The sequence below is a fragment of the Homo sapiens genome, chromosome 5 (assembly GCF_000001405.40).
Source record: "Homo sapiens chromosome 5, GRCh38.p14 Primary Assembly".
In the NCBI taxonomy this organism is placed as follows: Eukaryota; Metazoa; Chordata; class Mammalia; order Primates; family Hominidae; genus Homo; species Homo sapiens.
In genome coordinates this window covers 71,372,954-71,394,349 of record NC_000005.10, presented here as the reverse complement: position 1 = coordinate 71,394,349, position 21,396 = coordinate 71,372,954, and the positions used below count along the sequence as shown (strand labels likewise).

At 35.3% G+C, this 21,396-nt stretch overlaps 2 long non-coding RNA genes and 1 pseudogene across 5 annotated transcripts in view; 2 read left to right on the top strand and 1 right to left on the bottom strand.

Annotated features, from left to right (window-relative positions):
- Positions 1 to 21,396, top strand: part of LINC02197 (long intergenic non-protein coding RNA 2197) — a 125,726-nt gene that overhangs the window by 52,407 nt on the left and 51,923 nt on the right. The window lies entirely within an intron of this gene.
- Positions 8,357 to 18,565, bottom strand: PMCHL2 (pro-melanin concentrating hormone like 2 (pseudogene); annotated as a pseudogene). The gene is made up of 4 exons (NR_003922.1): positions 18,334 to 18,565; positions 16,770 to 18,063; positions 8,917 to 9,054; positions 8,357 to 8,534 (listed from the first exon to the last, which is right to left on the bottom strand). The product of NR_003922.1 is annotated as a pro-melanin concentrating hormone like 2 (pseudogene) (transcript).
- On the top strand, positions 17,517 to 20,314 carry LOC105379025 (uncharacterized). 2 transcript variants are annotated; one of them, XR_001742723.2, is made up of 2 exons: positions 17,517 to 18,908; positions 19,972 to 20,314. It is a non-coding gene; the product is annotated as an uncharacterized LOC105379025 (long non-coding RNA). The 2 variants fall into 2 exon arrangements; XR_001742722.2 differs by having other exon boundaries at positions 19,668 to 20,314.

The following is a 21,396-nucleotide window of genomic DNA, read 5'->3' as shown; positions in this document are numbered from 1 at the left end:
AATGTTTGCTTTTCCCCCAAACTTGTATGTTGAAAACTAACCCCTGTGGTGATGGTATTTGGAGGTAGGGTCTTTTAGGAGCTGATTAGTCATGAGGGTGGAGCATTCATAAATAGGATTAGTGCCCTTATAATATAGGCCCAAGGGAGTTGAGCTCCTTGGTCCCTTTCACCATGTGAGAACACAGGACACAGCCAAAAGGTGTGACCTACGAAGCAGGAAAGGGGCCCTCACCGGACACTAAATCAGCCAGCACCCTGATCTTAAACTACCCAGCCTCTAGAACTGTTAAATATAAATTTATGTTGTTTATAAGCTATCCAGTATATGCTATTTTAGTTATAGCAGCCTGAATGCACTAAGATTAATATTACAATTCATTTTGGTTTGTTTCTGTGAGGTAAGGCCAATTCCCATGGACTTCTTTATCTCAGAGAATGATTTACTTGGTTCACCTCCTTTTGCTAAACAACGTTCATGTGACTACTCAATGTTCAAAAGTCTAGGAGAACCAAGGGCAGTAAATAAGAAAATACACTGAGATGTTCTGAAAATATCCAGCCACGAAGATACCACAGTGTCCCTTGGGAAACACATCTAACATATCCAAAGCAGCATGTTAATAATTTATTTTGTTTTGCTTTATCTTGTTTTTCTCTAAAAAGAAAAAAAAAAGAGAAAAGCCTTCTGTGGACATTTTTCTGCCAGACTGAATCTATTTTCAATCTCAACTGTATGGGTCCGATGATGGATACCCTATTGAACTGAAGAGTCTTTGAGGAGTTTTGCAACTTTCTGGAACACATACCTGTTTGAGCCAGAACAGAAGAGCAACGTATATTGCAATAGATAGGTGAAGTTTTTCTAACTTTCATTGGCCTGGTACATATTTTATTTTTACTCCGTCTATTACCGTTTGTTGTCTCTAACATTACCTTAAAGAATCATACACACGCAGGCACACACATGTACATGCACGCGCGCACACACACAGACCCTTTTTGCTACTGTCTTGACTATGTCCTTGTATATAGAGCTGCCTTTTTCAGTAAGGAGTAATAATTTTGATCTTGTTAATATCTTGTTAATGAACTATTAAACTATCTAAATTATGTCATGGTAAACCTGATTCCAGTATATTTAAACTCATCCAGTTGATAACGCTGTAACAAAGTTTATGAATTTAAGCTAAATAGATAAGCCATTTGTCTACAAGGTAAACACCGAAGTGAGTTTTTGCTGTGGTAGTTGTTGAGTATTTAAATATGTGCAATGCAGACAAAATGCGTCAAGATGAAAAATTTTATTTGGTGGGTAAAAAATGAGTGATAGTGTTTACCAGCAGCGATTAAGTCAGAGAGCTGCCAGAGAGGAAATTCATCTGAACCATGTAAGCTATAATTATAGATCAGAAAAGACGCAATATAATATGGTTTTATTAATATACCTGGCAGAAAAACATGCTACCACACTACAAAACATTAAAGAAAATTTTACCCATGCACCATTTTCTAATGAAAATGTGTAGGCATATCCTCATGATCTTAAGAAATTTGGAGAAAACTATTCATTTTCAACATTAAGGCAGTTGGATAAGAAGTCACCATATTAAACCAGAGTTGAAAATCAGTATTTTCTTTCTATTTCCTTCTTTGTGTACCATTGTCAACAGATCCTCTCTTGTCCTGTCTCTCTTTTGTCCTTGCTGTTGAGTGGTGTGCATTGATAGTTTCTTTCTCTTCTGCTGATTTTTTACTAGGTCTTTGTTTTGCACATTGACAGTCCTCATCTGTTTTCTCCCTCAAAATTCACCACTGCTGTAAAGTCTGCTCTGCTAAAACTATGGACCTTTTCAGGAACCTGTATATTCAAAAACATAGAGGAACCGATGCCAACAATTTAACTGTGCTCAAATTTTTAAATAATGAAGTTTTATTTTATATGCTAATTTTAAAATAATGCAAAGCTATTATGAAGAGTCACAGAATTTCAAAGCTGAAGGGACACCATTATAATTCTTGTTTTTATTATTTGTATGTAGCACTAGTACATTAGATAATATAAATGATGACCTGAGCTAATTTGTCAACATATTGTAAATCAAGCAGGTGTTCAAGTGGATCAGAACACCTGTGAGTGCTTTTGCTGATGCATAGACTTTTATTTAAACATGTATTGTCATCATGCAAAGAAAAAGTGTATTCTGTCATAATGATATAAAAGTAAGGTGTACACGGCTAATATTGGGAAGCAAGCCACCAAATACAGTGCAGCAGAGATAGGTTTAGAAATTCATTCTAAATCAAGCTGAATTACCACCGTGATATTTCTAAAGAACACCCCCATTCAGCTTTTTATTTGCTCCTGCGGGAAATTAATCTTTCATTTTGTGAGTACAAGGTCTTCATGAATGGATCCTTCGATAAAATGGAGCTGTGTTGTACCAACCTCCCAGTGGTTTTCTGGGGACTAATAGAAAATGCTTCTGCATCACTTAACAAGACAACTGACTTGTGATAAGTGCTCAGTAAATATTATCTATTTTATCATATGCAAAAATAATGAGGGGAGTGTGCATGTAAAAACACAGATACAGCCATTTTTCCTTTCCAAATGGTGTTTATCACCAATACTATTTCAGAATACTTTGCAAGATATGGTGGGCTACTGAGGCCAGGGTGATTAGTATTCAAGTTAAGTAGTACTAAGTAGCCTTTTCTAGGTTAATGTTGGTGCGTTAATAACATAACCATTTGTCTAAGGAGATTCATCCCAAATTGCAAAGAGAAAAAATATGAAATGGATATATAAAACACTTTAAAGTTGTACTCTCCCTCTATTTTATATATGAGGACCTCACGACTAGGTATGAGTACACATAGTGAATTGTAATAATACGTTCATTTACACCTAGACAATTATTTTCATGAATACAGGATGAAAATTATTACATTTGAATCTCATTATAATCTTTATCCCGGAAAAAAAAACATTGGAATAAAGTGGATTTAGACTTCGTGCCAAATATTTATTTAGATGAATTTGCAAATAGACCCATGCTTAAAAGTATGTGAGATTTAAATAAGCATATTAAAGACTTAATTATAATTAAATGCTATTGCATTCTATTTTTGATTCAAAAAGTTTTCAGCATTGCCTCCTTGGTTTTTATTTGTTTTTAACTGAGCTTACAGAACTAACTAGGAAAATATATGCCAGGCATTATTAGCATATCATAATATAAACATTTATTTGACATTCAGATCTTGTGTATTTTGAAGGGCAAAATAAAATAGAAGGGGAATTTTTTTTTCAGATTTTATGAGAGGTAAGCTAAATGTCTATCTTCTTGTATATTTTTGTTAGCAAAGAATCTGGATATCCATCTTGAGGTCATATTTGCAAATGACTTTGATGGAACACTTAAATTTCATTTGGTGAATGACAGCTCAGAAGCTTCAAATGTGCCTGGGTGTATGTTACTTTCATTTCCTGGTGTGTGCATAGGTCTGAAGAGCTATGAGAAAATATTATCATTATATGATACTCTTGCAATCCAAGAACACCTACAAAATTACTCTTCTCAGCTGAGACGTAATGAGATTCTCTTTATGACCAGGTTCAATCTTCTTTCCTCATGGAACAGGTAGAAGGAAAGAGAGAAATTGCTCAAGATGCAAATTATGTGTACTCCTGTGACCCAGGTGAACCAGACCTTACAAACTGCCTGTCAGGGAGATGTAAATTTCTTGTAAGCAGCTAGATCACTAGACTCAAAGGAAGTTATTGATTTTCCTATAGTGTCTCCAATGCAGAAATGAAAGACTTACAAGTTTGTGATGTAGATGCTTTCTAGTCTTTCTTTTGTTAAACATGTCACTTTTCACCTGTTAATACTAGAGTTCAGATAGCATAGAGACTTGTTGGAAAATACATGCTTTTCTTCCCCCTCTGGTTATAAAGAAAACAAAAAGAGCAGAGAGAAACATTCAATAGGGTCACAGTGGGTAAAATTCCAACATCCTCGCATCACTGTCTACTTTAATCAATATGCATTAACACAGGCTACATTATGCATATGTAAAAAATGCTTGCCATCTCAGTGAAAAATGGCACAGCAATTAAAATGTCAAAAGGCTAAGGAGACAATGTGAGATTAAGTGCAGTTATAATTTTATTTTAAAACATCTCAGTTCTCTGGTGCTCATTGGAGTGTTCTTTTTAAAATGATTTCAAATTTGGGAACATTAGCAAAACCCAGCCAGCTACTTAGTATCTTATGTAAAAACTGTATTTTTCAGTCACCTTCCTTCTTTAGCTAAATTAAATGACACATGTAGTCTTTTATTTTTTTCTCAATGATTTAAAGACAGCAAATATGCCATTATTTTTCTTTCTTAAGTATATGTATATACAATTTTATAAAGTATTAAAATGAGGACTCCTTAACATGTATCTTAGCATTTTTTCATCAAGTTGAGTAAGACTTTATAGGCAAACATTGTTCAATAATAAAAATTATGCTCATTAGATTTTATTTGAGAAATCTCTATTAATTCTCCTTTTCATATTTTTTCTCATTAAGATGCAATTTAAGTGTACCTCTCTTTCATTAGTAGGGCCATTTAAGCTAGGTGGTATACCTTTAATCTCTGAGAAAGCTTAGGTGATATGCTTGTCTACAGACAGAAGAAGGTTAGAAACTGACTTCTGATGAGACATGTAAAATAGAGTGTGCTCATGCACAATTCCTAGGCCATGCCACACAGTTCCCACTTTCATCATTCTTAGTGAACGCATAAGTGAAACAGGAATAGAATATTTAATGTTATCTTTTTTATATATATCAGTAAGCAAAGAAGCAAACCTGCACGGCTCCACCTCAGGGAACCCCAAGGGGTACATATGTGCAGGGACTTAACCTCCCATATCAGACTCTAAGGAAGCAGAGTAATAAGACCCTGACATGCTACTGGCTGACATATAGGTTTTATTAGATTAAAAGCTCTGAAATGGCCATAAGGCAGAATGAGTCGTTGCATATTTTCTGCTTCTAGAAGGCATAGAATTCTAGTCCATAAACCAAGTGCATGCAGCTCATGTCTGTAAATCTTTTTTACATCAGTGTTGCCTGTGTTTCTTCCTATTGTTTAGGAATATATTTCCTTAAACATATGACTTATGCTAATACAGTATTTCTGATTCAATATCAACTATTTCTGTTCTGTATAAAAATAACTTTATTTATAAAATATTTTTAAGTACTTTAAAACATATATGGTCAATGATCTATTCCAATAACCCAAAGTCTGCACATAATAAATCATTCCAGAAAAAATTACTATATTTCTCTAACATATAGACTAGGCTTAATTGTTCTTCTTTATCTAATATTGTAATTAGGTGGTAGCATGATTAAAAGATCTTTATATCTGCTTAAAACCCTAAATTTCTAACTATGTTTCCTAACATTTTAAATACAATTACAATTTTTATTTTTTTAGATGTTGAGATATTGACGGTTCTTAGCTCTCCAATTATATGCCAGCTCTCCTTGAACATGGAATAATCAATAGTCTAAGTTGGCCCCAAAGATTACCCCTCCAGCAATAGTTTCGCTTCTACATAATTCCAGGGCATGTCACTATAATAGATTTTACTCTCATTATTTGGTCATGTTACATAGCACACTTGACCTTAAAATAGAGCACAATTTAATCACATGAGCCTTTCTATAAGCAGAGAGTTTGTCTAGTTGAAAGCAGAAGGGAAATCAGATAAATCTGAGGTGTGATATGGATTCAATATGAGGGCAGTTCTTTATTACAGAAACGGAAGGGGCCTGTGGCATAACCTGATAGCAGCCTGGAGGAGGTGAGGTCACTCCCAGCTGACAGATAGTGAGGCAAGAGGGACCTCAATCTTACAACCACAAGGAAACAAATGCTGCCAACACTCTGAGGGGCCTTTGAGCCGATCTTTTTGTAGTCAGGCCTCCAGATGACGATGCAGTTGGCCAGCACCCTGACAGCCTTATGAGACCCTGAGAAGAGGACTTGGCCAAAATGTGGCAGGCTCCCGACCAACAGAAATTGTGCAATAATAAATCTGTGTTAAGTGGCTAAATTTGTGGCAATGCAATAGACAGAAAAATACAGTGCTATGTGGATTAAGGAAGTTCAGTGGAAGGTATTGTATTTTGAAATTTCTAAGCAATTTTTATTTTATTTTTGATATTATTATTATTATTTTTGAGATGGAGTCTTGCTCTGTCGCCCAGGCTGGAGCGCAGTGGCATGATCTCGGCACACTGCAACCTCTGCCTCCCGGGTTCAAGCGATTCTCCTGCCTCAGCCTCCTGAGTAGCTGGGATTGCAGGCAGGCACCACCACACCCATCTAATTTTACACATATACATATATAGTGTATATATACACATATATATGTACACATATATATATACACATATGTATATATGTATATGTGTATATATACACTATATATGTATATGTATGTGTGTGTGTGTGTGTAAACTGGGGTTGGGGAAATGGAGAGATGTTGGTCAAGGGATAGAAATTTTCAATTATGCAGAAAAAGTAATTTCTGGGGACCTAACGTAGAGCATGGTGACTATAGTTAGTAATACTATATTGTATAATTGAAATCAGCTTAGAGAGTAGGTCTTAAATGTTCTCACTACACAAAGAGATAATTACGAGAGGTGATGTATATGTTAACTAGCTTGATTGTGGTAATCATTTCATAATATATACATATATCAAAACATCACAGTGTACAGCATACATAAATATATTCAATTTTTTTGTCATTACACCTCATTAAAGCTGAACAGAAAAGCATCACTGATAAATTTCTAAAATAATAATGATAATTGGCCAGACGAGATGGCTCACGCCTGTAATACATATATACATATATACATATATATCTGTGCATGTATGTGTGTATATATACACATATACACAGATATATACATATATATGTTTGTGTGTGGGTGTGTGTGTGTGTATATATATATATATACACACACACACATATATGTATATATATATAATCTTTTCTTTATCCAGTCATCTGTTGGCAGACATTTAGGTTGATTTCATATCTTGGCCCCTGTGAATAATGTTGCAATGAACATGTTTTACTTAAAAATACTCATGAATGTATATATTGAACTTTCACTATGTACCAGGCATTAGGTTCCTATTTACATCAAGTTTCTCATTTGGTCTTTAAAAATACAGTGAGAGATAATACTACTGTAACTCCCACTTTACAGATAAAGAAACTGAGGCTTACAGAGCTTAAGGAATTTCCTCTGGGTGAAAATGGTTACTAAGTTTCAAATCCAAAATACAAAACCAAGCAGTTGGATTGCAGAGCTTATATGTTTACCTCTCCCTTCAGGGTTTCATAGAGCCTCAGAGCATGGGTGACCCAGTTCCAAACTCTAATAGAAAAACAAGCAATGTGGTTAAGACCCTAGATAATACATGGGAAATCAGTGAGTGGAGTAGGAACATCACACGGGATGGGAGGGGGGTCTTAAAAATGCATCAAAATCAGCACACCTTCTAAACCAGCATTTGCAATTTATAAAGAATTTTAGGTAATTCATCTGCACATTGAAGTTTAATTTGGGAATATAGATTGGTGCAGCCACTGTGGAAAACAGTATGGAGGTTTCTGAAAAAAAAGAAAAGAAAAGAAAAGAAAAAAACGAAAAGAAAAGAACTATCGTATGACCCAGCACTTTCTCTTCTGGGTATATATATCCAGAGAAAAATAAATCACCACCCTGTAAAAATATCGGTGCTCCAATGTTCACTGGAGCATCGTCCTCAATAGCTCAAGTACAGAAACAATTGAAGCATCCATCAAGAAGTGGATGGGTAAATAAATTGTGGCATATGTACACAACAGAAAACTATTAAACCTTAAAAAAGGACATGAACCTAGGGGGTTGCACATGGATGAACCTAGAGGACGTTATGTTAAGTGAAATAAGCTAGGAACAGAGAGACAAATGCCACAAGATCTCACTCTTGAAAGCTGATATCCTAGAAGTAGAGAGAGGAGAACAGTGGTTTCCAAGGGTAGGGATATTTGAGGAGTGAGTAGGGTGAGGAGACGTTGGTCCAAGGATACAAAATTTCAATTATATAGGAGGAATACTTGAAGAGATCCGTTTTACAACATGGTGACTATAGTTAGTAATATATTGTATTCTTGGAAAATGTTGAGAGTGGATATTAACTGTTCTCACCACAAAAGTAAATATGTGAGACAATACCTATGTTAATTAGCTGGATTTAGTCATTCCAGAATGTATACATGTTTCAAAATTTCATGTTGTACGTGGTAAATACATAAAATTTTATCTGCCAATTTTTAACAATTGAACACATGTAATCATTATCCTAAGAATTCCAGAAAGGTGAATATGAATTTCTTGTTTGATGATACGGCCTCAGGCAAATCATTTCATCTGTCTTCCTGACAGTTTCACACTTCTATAAAACAGAGATAAATTATCAATTTTTAAAAAGAATTTAATTATGCCTAATGTTCAGCATATTGTCTGCCACAACATAATTAATAAACAATAAGTCGTTTTAGTTTTGTTTTTTGTTGTCGTTGTCATTGTTGTTTTTTAATGATGGAGGTAAACCAAGGAGGGCGGGGGTTTTAAAACCGCTTAGTTTTTCCTTCTCTCTGGAGCCCAGCAGTGGCTTCATGAGACCAAGTGTCTACTTTGCGGATCCAGTCTCCTGGTAGTACGGATGGGCTATAGAGGAATTCCAGAACGAGGTGGGAAAGGCTTAGCAGGCCCACAGCTCCGTGAGCTGTTATCATGAAATAGCAGCTTGGAGCTGGAGTTAGCTATGGGCTTACCTTTCCCCCTGAGAACCGAACTGCACTGATAACGTGAAATCGTGCCATTTCTCAACATGTGAAGGGCGTCTCTTTACATTCTCAAAGCCTTGAGTCATAACTATCTGTTTTCAAAAGTTGACATTATCAGATCAGTTACTGTGAAAACCAGAAACGTTTTATTTTAGTCTTTTTATGTGAGTAAAAGATACAATAAAATCTTGGTAATTAAATATATTTACTTAACTGTTTTCACTTATACTCCTTTAAAAAGCGATTTTTTTAAAAGCCTGAATCATTGCTTCTCTGTATATTTAATCTTCAGTCTTGGAATTGCTTCTGAGGGGAAAATTACTTTTAAAATAATTTTCTTTGCAGTTAGGAAAATGAGGACCTATAGTCCTAACATGCTCTTAATTTGGGAATTACTTGTTTCACTGCTCAGAGAACAAAATTATTGGCAGTGGAAAAATTGCACACAAAACAAAGAGTTAACCCCTTTGGTGATTTAATCTCTTGAGGAAGGATTTCAGCCGGGTACAAAAACTGATAAGATATTTATCAACAAGTCACAGAATGGCTTATCAACTTGATCCTTTGATTGTTTATAAATACCATCATAAGCCTATTAAGTTCTAAGCTGGTATTTCCCAAAGTGAGTTCCTTTACTTAATAATGCCTCCTTCTTACAGCTTATTACACTTTTTTAATAGTTAGTCCCAGGAATTTCCATTTATTCTAATTTCATCTGTTTAAAGGCAGTAAAGTGTTCACGAACAAAGTTTCAGTATCAGGCTGCATGTATTTGAATCCGGAATCTACCACTCAAAGGCTGTGTGACCTTGGACAAGCCATTTAACCTCCCTGTGCCTTGGTTTCCACATGAGTAAAATGGGTGTGGTAGACTCATGGCAGGTAGAATTAAATGGATTAATTAATGTAAGGCACTGATGTACAAAAAGTGCGTAAAACACCTTAAGGATTTATGTAAGCTGCTAAATCTCACTTCTTAACTAAACAGTTCTTTTCATCCCCTCAGCTAAGGCCAAGACTACTCCGTGAGGTTGTGCAATGTGTGTGCTGCACAATAGTGCCTTGTGGAGGGAGCCGGAGAGTCTAAAATTCCTTCTCTGCCACCATCACCAAGCCATGTGCTCTTAAGCTTGACCTGTTAACAGCTGGTCTGTTTTTCTGATTTGTCCACCTAGAGGGGATATCTTTTTTTCTAACCAAGGTACTAGTAAAGGTATACCATATTAGAATATCTAAGCACAGGTCTGTCTGGCCCAGTGCTTATGACTGATAAGATTTGGGGCATTACCTATTAACAAAAACATCTGATTCCATTTCTTTTGGCCACCCCAGATCTAGGAGCAATCTCAGTTTTTCTGTTCTTAAGTATTTGTAAAGCTACAGTTTTATCTGATAGCCAAATGTTCAGCTTAGCTATACATAAATTCTTATGTTTCATATATATATATATATGTGTGTGTGTGTGTGTTCTATATATATACATATATATGTTCTATATATACATAAATGTTCTCTCTATATATATACACATATATAATTACATTTGCTGTTCATTGCTAGTTATTGAGTACCGAACGAATAGTAGGCTGCAAAACCATAAGGATATTATATTATGCACTTGACTCTGAGGGCTTTGCATTCTTTTCAGAAGCCAGGTACAGTACGTTTAAAATAGTGAAACAAATTAGACATTAAATATGTAGCAAATATTAACTCACTTTGTGAATAATTAATGATAATTGTCATATTAAAAAGTGTTAGCAGACAAGGAAGACAAACATTTCACAAAAGAATGGAAAGGGAAAAACCAAAACTTTTCTACAGAATATTCATACCTGAGTGGATGTCGATGTAAATGTAATATAGAATTAAAGCTATTTCCAAGGTTTTAAATCAAGGATCATTGAAACCATGTACTAATGTGTACGTACTTGAATGAAACATTTATTGAATCAATTAATTTATGAGTGAAATATTTTATTTTATTATTTATTATTATTTTTTGAAACTTGCTCTGTCACCCAGGCTGGAGTGCAGTCATATGATCTTGGCTCATTGCAACCTCTGCCTTCCAGGTTCAAGTAATTCTCTGCCTCAGCCTCCCGAGAATCTGGGATTACAGGCACCTGCCACCATGCCTGGCTAATTTTTGTATTTTTAGTGGAGACAGGGTTTCACCATCTTGGCCAGGCTGGTCTTGAACTCCTGACCTTGTGATCCACCCGGACGTGGTGGCTCACGCCTGTAATCCCAACACTTTGGGAGGCCAAGGCAAGTGAAATATTTTAAACATGAGTCAAAGTTTTTCTGTTTACTTATTACTGACTTGAAGTCTGTTGAGGTTGGAGATTAGATCATTCATGTAGGATGTATAGAGACTCTACTGAAACTCAGGTGAGATCTTTCTAGAGGTTCAGAAGCAGAAGAAACAGAATAGAACTAATCAGGGAAAGCATTGCTTATTCTGCATTGACTGAGTACTTATACAATTTGGGAGATTTTCTTAAGATTCTTGCTAAGGATGGCTTGAGATTGGGTCTAGAAAAACATATAGGACAACTCAAGCAAAATAAATTGAAGAATTACGGTAAAGACCATGGCAGGCCTTTAAAAGAGAGTCACCCAGTAAAGCAGTAGGATGTAGTTTAGTGCTGTATACTGTAAAATTGAGCATGCAATTTGGAATTACACATTTTAGTGGGTAGACTTGTGTCCCTCAAGAATATATGTTCACATTCTAATCCTTGGTACTTATGAATGTGACCCTTTTTAGAAATAGGGTCTTTTGAGATGTAATCAAGTTAAAATGAAGTCCTACTTAGTTAAGGTGGGAGCTAAATTCAATGATTAGTATCTTTTGTTTATTTATTTTTTGAGACGGAGTCTTGCTTGTCACCCAGGCTGGAGTGCAGTGACAAGATCTTGGCTCACTGCAACCTCTGCCTCCTGGGTTCAAGCCATTCTCCTGCCTCAGCCTCCCCAGTAGCTGGGATTGTAGGTGTGCACCACCACGCTCAGCTAATTTTTGTATTTTTAGTGAGACGGGGTTTCACCATGTTGGCCAGTTTGGTCTTAAACTCCTGACCTCATGTTCCGCATGCCTCGGCCTCCCAAAGTGCTGGGATTACAGGCGTGAGCCACCATGCCCAGCCAGTGGTTAGTATCTTTAAAAGAGAAAGGAGAGGAATATTTGAATACAAAGATGCAGGGGAGTTATACAAGAAAGAAGGCCATTCAATGACAGAGTTGGAGATTGGATTGATACAACTAATCAAGAAATCAAGGAATGCCAAGGAGTGACAAGAACCACCAGAAGCTAGGAAAGAGGAATAAGACAGGTTTTTCCTGAGAGGCTCCAGAAGGAACCAACTCTGCTGCTTTCTGACTTCTGGCCCAAACTGTGAGAAAACAGATTTCTGGCCTTCTGAACTGTAAAAAAAATCAATTTCTGTTATTTTAAGATGCCAAGTTTGTGCAAATTTGCTATGGCAGCCTTAGAAAATTAATATAGATCTCTTCAAATGCATTCCCACCTCTGCTATGTGATACTAGTTACTTCTCAAAATCTTCATTGGCCATTTAATTAAAATAAACTAAAATCCATAACTTTAGTGAAGGAATGTGGACAGTAGCAACATATAATGCACAACTCAGAAAACTGTGAAGATTACATGAGACAATGTAGACAAAGTACTTAGAGTGATTTTGGAAATGCAACAAATACTTAATAAATAGTAGCTTTTAGTTTTAGAGGGAGCAGTTGGGACATATGGATGAGACTCAGAAGTGTATGAAATTGGCATAGAAAGAACAAACAAGCATCAAAATCCCCATCACAGGAAAAAAGTCTTTAAGTACTTAATAGATTTGTAGGTGGTCGTGAAGAAAAGGGGCACTGTACAGGAACACAGTCCTAAAGTAGCTGGTATACTGCTTAGGAAATCAAAGAGCAGAAAAATAACATGGTTTGTGTACTTTAGGATGGAAACCACTGGTGTGAGATAGCAAGGATGGAAAAGCAAAAATCAGCCAACTCTGAGATTGTGCACAGATTTACTGACCACTACCAGATGAATACAATATCTGATAATGATACAGCTTGGCTGTGTCCCCACCCAAATCTTATCTCGAATTGTAGCTCCCATAATTCCACATCTTGTGGGAGGGAACTGGTGGGAGATAATTGAATTATGGGGGACAGTTTTCCCCATACTGTTCTTGTGGTAGTGAATAAGTCTCAGGAGATCTGATGATTTTATAAGAGATTTCCCCTTTCTCTTGACTCTCATTGCCTTTGCCTGCCACCATGTAAGATGTGCCTTTTGCCTTCTGCCATGATTGTGAGGCCTCCCCAACCACATGGAACTATGAGTCCATTAAACCTCTTTTTTTTTTTTTTTTTTTAAGATAAATTACCCAGTCTCAGGTATGACTTAATCAGCAGCATGAAAATGGACTAATACAGATACTTTTCAAAAAGATTAGGGATTAATTAATTACCAATACCTACTCTTGGAGATATGATTTTCTTTTTTCTTGATAGGGCAAATCCAGTGGATTCCAATTGTTCTTTATAGAGAAAATGTGACTTCTGTCAACTCCACTTAATTAAGAGTTTACCTTGGATTTTAATGTTGGGAGCGGGCAGAGAAAAAAAGAACAAACATCCTCCAAAGGGAACAAGAATGCATTATAAACTGACTGAAAAGTCAGAGACAAATGCCCAATGTGATCCTCGAGATAAAAACGAAAATGGCCATTGGTGATCAAATGGCATTAGTTCACTAAGAAAATGGTCCTGGAAATTAATTTTGCTAAAATGTCTTTGATGAAAGCAAAGTAAGTACAGAATGAGAAAAACAAAGAGTTGGAGAATAAGATATTAATTGTCACAGTAGATACATTTCTGGAAATCTGACTGGATGAACAAAGTTAAATTTCCATAAGAACATACTTCAGGAAGTAATATCACAAAGATGTGTCTGTATATACATTTATAATATATGTCCATTTGCAATAAACAATATGTCTGAAGCTTCCTGAAGGTAATGGCTAAGCTGATCCTATTTCATGTGGTCTTATCTTGTTTAGCAGGTGGAAATAGACAATACATAGTCATTCAGCAGGCTGTTGTTTTCATATGATACAAAGTAAAGTTGATATAACTGTTTAGATGGAACAATCACAGCATGGCTTACTTTAAGAGAAAACCCAAGCTTCCCGAGTTTAGTATATGATTTATTTTTTCTTCATCTATATTAAGCAATAGTAAAACTAAGCCTTGATAGGGGGACACTTCCAATGTTTTACATTTTAGTTGAATTAAAAGATATCTCCTTTTCCAAAAATAAGACCTATAAATGATTTGTTTTCTAGGTAACTAGTGTACAATGCCCCTTCCCTCTGTTTGGTAGCTAAAGGTCTACAGTTATGAGAAAATGGAATAACATAATGGGGTAGAGGCCATAAAATATTTTAAACACATTACCAAGTTATTTTTTCTATCTTCTATTTTTAATGTATACAAAACATTTATTCATTTTGTGTTAACAACTTTGTTATTTATTCAGTCTGTTGTTAAATGGTATGAATATTTGAAAATTTAATCCTGATTGATACAAGGAGGAACATAAAAATATCTATAACAAAAATGTTTTCATGACCCCATTGTTAAAAGATTAACCTTTTTTAAGGCCATGTTATGGGGACTTTTACTTGAGTGCTTACTATAAAGTGTTTTAGATGTATTTCATTTATATTATTGCAAGGATTAAAATTAAATATGCTGTAAGTGGGAAAATTTGTATTATGATGGCCACTAAGAGTATTTAAAAGCATTATAAGTTGTCACACACCTCATTAACTAATATTGATTAGAATTTCGGAGTTAAAAATGTTGCTCATTTTACAGGTCATTACAATTAAGTGCTTACAGCCACCAAAATCATATTTTGGTAAAGTGTGTATTGCATAACCCAGGCACATTTTCATGCTAGAAAAATGTTTAAATGATATGCATTGCTTTGTATGCTGGAAAGATAGGCGATCATTATGGATCTATTGCAAGGCACTGAATTGGAATATATTCAGATTGAATTTCTGAGCTGTGTTGTGCATCAGAAATTTCTATATTCTCATCTCAATATTTAGACCTTCTCTTTCTCTACTCATCTGTGAAGATGATAATTCACTCCTTCATCAGTGCTCTATTTTGTACCTTCGATGTCCCTACTGTATGTCTGTCTCGAAACTATTGATTCAACAAAGTACTTTCTGCCACAGTTTATACCATTTTGGAGATGAGATACTTAACTGAATGTTCTCTTGTTCATTTAGCCACTGCTCACCGTTAACCTTGCTTTCTTCCTTTCTATATACCCATATTTCTACCTAAATGGGTTAAAAAATTGATATATTGTGTGTTTATTCTTTGGAAGAGTTAACAATTAAGATTGTAGACAAAAGCATCACAATGGGAAAAACTGCCTTATAGTTTTATTTGTGGAGAGTCAATATGAATTTGTCAAGGACCTATCAGGATCAATGTGGCAACCTAGCTCACCATCACTTTTGTGATATTTCAGTAAATAATTAAGAATCTCTTTCATGAACGAGCTGACAAATGTACTGGAAAGAACAAAGGCCTCATAAAAAGGTATCATGTGATAGAATCCTAGATCCCCCTCATTGCTAGCAGCTATACGGACTTTGATAAATATTGATAGTTTATATATTGTACACGCACACATACACAGATACATATACACAATTAGTTTCACATAATTGCATATATGTGATTTTACCACAAATGGCCGTAGCTATTTTCTCACACAATGCAACTGTCTTGACGTGGAGTTGAAGAAAACTGGATTCAAGTTTCTATGTTCCCAGAATCTCCCACCTTTTCCAAAAAGCAATTTAATTTCTGAAAACCTTAGTGTCTTCTTCTGCAAAATAATGAGAAATGCTTGTGCTTGAGTCCAACTCTAGGATTGTAGTCCCCTTTATATAATATAATCAAGTTCCTCCATCTGGGCATTCAGTTAAATTCTACAACATTGCCAAAATCTGATTTGACTCTACAGAATATGTATAGTTTATTTAACCAGATAGTAATTTAAAATTTTACAACATGCGTATTTCATGTAATATTAATAACAGTAATTTAAATTAATATTCAATACATACCGTTTGAATTTTTATAAGGTAATATTTGTTTTTAATTTTTTATTTTAATTTGTAATAAGCTCAAAATTATTACGTCAAAATGTGGAAAGATTGCCATTTTTGGTTTATAACAGATAGTAAGAAATGCTTATAAAATTCTTACCAGTTAATCTAAGCAGGTAGAGGACCAGTATTAGTTAAACTTGGATATAGGAAAGATGCCTCCACATAATGAATAAAACACACTGCACATTTTTATCCCAATTTTCTTTTTACTTTTAGTGCAAAATCTTAATTAAAATTTTGACTATGAGGCATTGACCAAGAGGCCAAAAATAATCAAAAGAGTTCAAATCTATGTGTCTTTATTGTACTTGAAGACAAAATTGTAACTAACACTGTTATGATTAGTAGTACATTAATTAAAATGGTTTAAGCTGGCAGTAATATAAATCAATGATCCTTTTCAAGTATTAGTTGGATAAAATTAACATTAACTCAATTCTGCTTATTTCCTGGAAGTATTTTAAACTTTAACCAATAGATATGACTTTTAAAATTTACCGTTTTTCAAATCTTAGAAGCTAATTATATTTCTAAACAGTTAGTGGATAAATTAAGAAAAGAACAACTTATATTTCTAGGGAAAATTATTTTCTAAAATTTGCACTTACTTGAGTAGATAAAAGGACTGACTTTCAGAGATCACAATCACAGATTTATGTTTTGGTAGAAGTGGTCTGAGAATACTGGTAAAAATATACAGATGTTAGAGTATAACAGAATGAATAATCAGTACGTCAATAAACATTCTGAGAATCTGCAGTTTACTGGTTGACTGCACTCTCCTTGACAAAGGTCTTTTTTTTTTTTTTAAGTGACAGTATGACTTGTCATTTATTTCAATGAAAATTTAAATGTTTCTTACAAATCCTCTGAAAATAAAACCGATATTTTTACAAACAGAAGTATATGCAAACAGTCACAATATGCATTAGGACACTGACGCTATTTCTTACATGCCAAGTCGTTCTTCCATTCTGGAGAACACCTCTTATCTGAAAGATTTTTTTTCTTCTACTATAAATTTGAATCTAAGTTATTTTTAAAGAGTCAAAAACAGTGCAGAGCATTTTTGAACTGATAAACAAGAATATAGGCTGGACTCAGTGGTGCACGCCTGTAATCCCAGCACTTTGGGAAGCCAAGGCAGGTGGATCACAGGGTCAGGAGTTCCAGACCAACTTGACCAAGATGGTGAAACCTTGCCTCTACTAAAAATACAAAAACCAGCCAGGCATGGTGGTGGGCACCTGTAATCCCAGCTATTCATGAGGCTGAGGCAGGGAATTGCTTGAACCCGGGAGGCAGAGGTTTCAGTGAGCCGAGATCGTGCCATTGCACTCCAGCCTGGGCAACAGAGTGAGACTCCATCTCAAAAAAAAAAAAAAAAAGAATATTATACATTTGTATTATAGTTCCACTCCAAATACGATAGCTAAAAGACAAATCAACCTTCTCTTTACAGAACACAGGCTCCAAACATAAATTTTTGTCTTATATGTTTTAGGTTTATGTATATATAAAACCATTCACCAAAGACATGCTTAATTTTTGAGATTAAGGTGTAAATTATGATGCCTTATTTTGGTCTAGAGTGTATGTAAGGTTAGTATGTTAAGCATTGTTCAAAAATACTAGTAAGTCAAAATTATACAGCATTTTCACAAAGTTCAATGCACAGAAAAAGCCTATGATTTTGGTTACTGATCTATCTTAACGCTACTTTCTTTTAAAACAGACAGTTAACATAATACCCAAGTTACAGTAACATTATGGGCTTCTCCTCCCATTGGCAATTAAATGCTTTTCTTCTGAAAAGATGATATGGACCAACAGGTCCATATCAAAAAAAGAATCAGACTTGCCAGCAACGTTGGTAGACTCTTCCCAGCATACATCTGAGTGCTGAAGGAAGAAGAAAGTTTAAATTGTTTAAAGGACTATAATTATCACACAAAATTTATTAAGAAAAAAGAATAATGGATCTAGTATAACTAATTCTGAGTAAACCAAAATGATAAGAACTAATTAAACACTTCTTAATCCCACATTTTTGGCAGGTGTAATTGAGCCATGGTCGTATTTGATTTTGTTATGATTGCATCCAAATTTGCTTAAACTCAGAGTTATGTTTAATGGTAGGATGTAAGAACTGAATTTTGAAAAACTACTCACTGTCAAAATCTCTCCTTCCTATAGGAAATTTAGCTGAGTTTTCTTCATCCCCAGTTTCTCTCTTTTCTAGTGTTGATTCGGTATCCTGAACCCCATTCTCAGCTGGAAAAGCTACAGATCCTTCTAGTGCAAGATAAGGTTTTATAACCAGATTCAGTGACAGACCATGATTTAAGAAATTATGTTTTTTCTTTGTTTTTTGTGACAGCATAATCCCATTGTTCTACTACCCTAGCAGTTCCTCCCTAGACAATGAGGCCAATACCCCTTCCTCTACTTCATATAGGCTTTCTTTTTTTACTCTATACTGTAATCCTGAATGCTTTCATGCATCTCATGGCTTTCATTATCATTTCTACTTTGATAAGTCCCAAAATGATATCTTCTGTTTATATTCAACTTTAGAATGCCAGACCTGTCATCTCTAGCTGCCTATCTCAGAGGCACCTTAAATTCAACCTGTTCAAAGATCATCTTGTGCCTTAACCCAGATTCACTGCTTCTCCAATGTTCCCTGTTCCAGTTTATAGCAACACCATCCTCAGTTTCTCATTCCAAAAGCCCAGGAGTAATGTGTAAGTAATAGATTCTGGAACCAAACCACCCTATGGCCGTACAACTTTGGGCAAGTTATTTATTAACCCTTTGATTTACTTTCCTCATCGATGATGTTTGAGTAATAATAGCACCTACTTCTTATGGTTATTGTGCAAATTAAATCTACTAATACATGTGAGAAACTTAATGATTAGTACCTAGCAAGTGCATTATGAGTGTTAACTATTGCTTTTCCTCTTATATTTTTTAACTTTTATCTTCTTTGCCTCAGACCCACAATCAGTGAATCGATAAATTCTCCTATTTTTAACTCCAAAATATTTTTCAATTCTATTCTGTTTGTTTTCACCATCTTGGCCAAGTCCACCATCATGTTCTAATTGCAGATCTACTCATATTGCTGCCTTGCTTATGGCTTCACAGTATTCTCATGGAAAAAAACCCAAAAGATTCGGTAATATAAAATCCTTGCTGGCCAGCCTGGCTTTAGAATACTTCTTCTTTCAGAATGTGTTTCCACCACCTCCTCCTCTCTAAGGCTTCTACTCCACACACCTTCCAGTCTCACTAAAGAACTAAGGATGCTCTTCTCTCCTAATGAAGTTGTGTTTACTTCTCAGGTCTCAACTTACATACAAATTTTTCCAGAGAATTTCCTGAAACACTCACCTCTCTCACTAGACTAACTTGCTCCAACTACTCACATAGATAGTATAACACTTATCATTCTAATTAAGTAATAATGTGTGGCTTTTTTATTCACATCTGTCTCAAAGGTAGGGACAGTGAGAGAGAATCATGCCATTCAAATAGAAGTTTTATTCTCAGCATCCAGCACATCAATTCACCATAGTAGAAGCTCAGTGAGTATCTGTCCAATTAATGAATAAATGTTGAGCACTGTAAGCTACGCTTATGGATACCATAGTTTAGTAAGGAAGCAGAGAGTTGGCAAAAATAAATTTGAGAAGTATGATAATGGATACATTAAAAAGTGCCTTGTTGTCCACTGGGAGGAAAGGTTTTAATTTAATCTGAGTTGATAAAGAAGGCCTACATAAGGAAGCTTTGTGATTTCAGGCTGAGGATAACAGTGAACAGGAGTTGGCTCTGTGAAGGACCTGAAATGTGAGGAGGACAGACTGAGAGAAGATCACCTGCAAACTCTCTGAAGCAGATGGTGTAGTCTGTGTAGCACTAGAATGCAGATGTCCACTTCACATGATGGTGTGAGTTTGCACAGGGCCATTTCCTTGGTGACCTGTGTGTCCTAAATCCAAGGGGACTCTCCCAGAACATTCTGTTGTGATAAAGATTCTTGGGATTTTCTGATTCCTGAGATGGGAAGAACTTAGTTCATGTAATGGCAAGTTGGGGGCTCAGGATATGATTCAATTTTAATAAAAACAATAACAGCAATAAATAAATGTGTCAATATTTGCTGTAAGTTTATAGACTAAAATTCTTAGTTTATACATATGCAGCCACAAATACACATACACACATGCACAGAGGCAGTTGTGAAAAAACACATACAAATATACAGGATTGGATGAATGCGAAAGGAAACTTACTTCTCTTTTTACTTTATACACTTTTAAATGTATACATTTCTCTGTTGTTTGAAATTATTGTGTGGCATTCTTTTGGCATTACTTATGTAATCAAAACTCTCAAAAGCTAAGTAAAAATTAAGTAGAAATACATTTCAAATTTAGCCAGTAGCTTGTCTAGTATGTCTGACTTAAGTTGACTTTATGGTATGAAAAATGTGCCTTTTTTTAGCTGAGAAATCATCACACTTAGGTATACCTTGGAGAAAGGTAATATGGGACAATAGCACTCGGCAAATTTATGATGAGCTATTGTTTGTATAATTTTTAATCACTCATATTTAAGACTTGATTTTCTATGCTGATACTAACATGGGATTTCTCTGCTTCAAGCCATCTAAATTAGCTATGCAAAGGGGTGAAAGTTCCCGGGATTTGTTTGGCAACACGTTTCTGAAAGGCCGTTTGGTGCAGCTGCCTTCCATTTGTTTCATCAAGAGACTAAGCTAAACTAAAGTAGTTCTTCATGATGAACTGGCAGGAAAGTGCCAAGATAGTTTTATTGCTTAGCAACTTGGCAGGAGGAAATGTTAAAATATTACAATCTCTCGTATCTATGAACTGAGACAGGCTTTCAACTGATGGCTCTCCAGCTCGAACGTGATTAAGATGCAGCCACATGGCCCGGGCTTATATTTTGAGCTGATAGGAGGAAGATAGGGAAGTTGGATACTTTTAAATGTATAAATAGTAATTTCTCAGAAAACATTTGCTGATCTGAGCCAAATGCTAATCTGAGGAATTAAGCTGTCTCCGTTGTGATGTTGATAAGTACTGCAACCCCTATTGATCAATGGGATTTCCTTTGCATTTCAGAAGGAAGGATACGTCTATTGAGAAATTGCACGCCAAGTAAAATCCTGAGATAAACAACTTCATACAAGAGAAACTG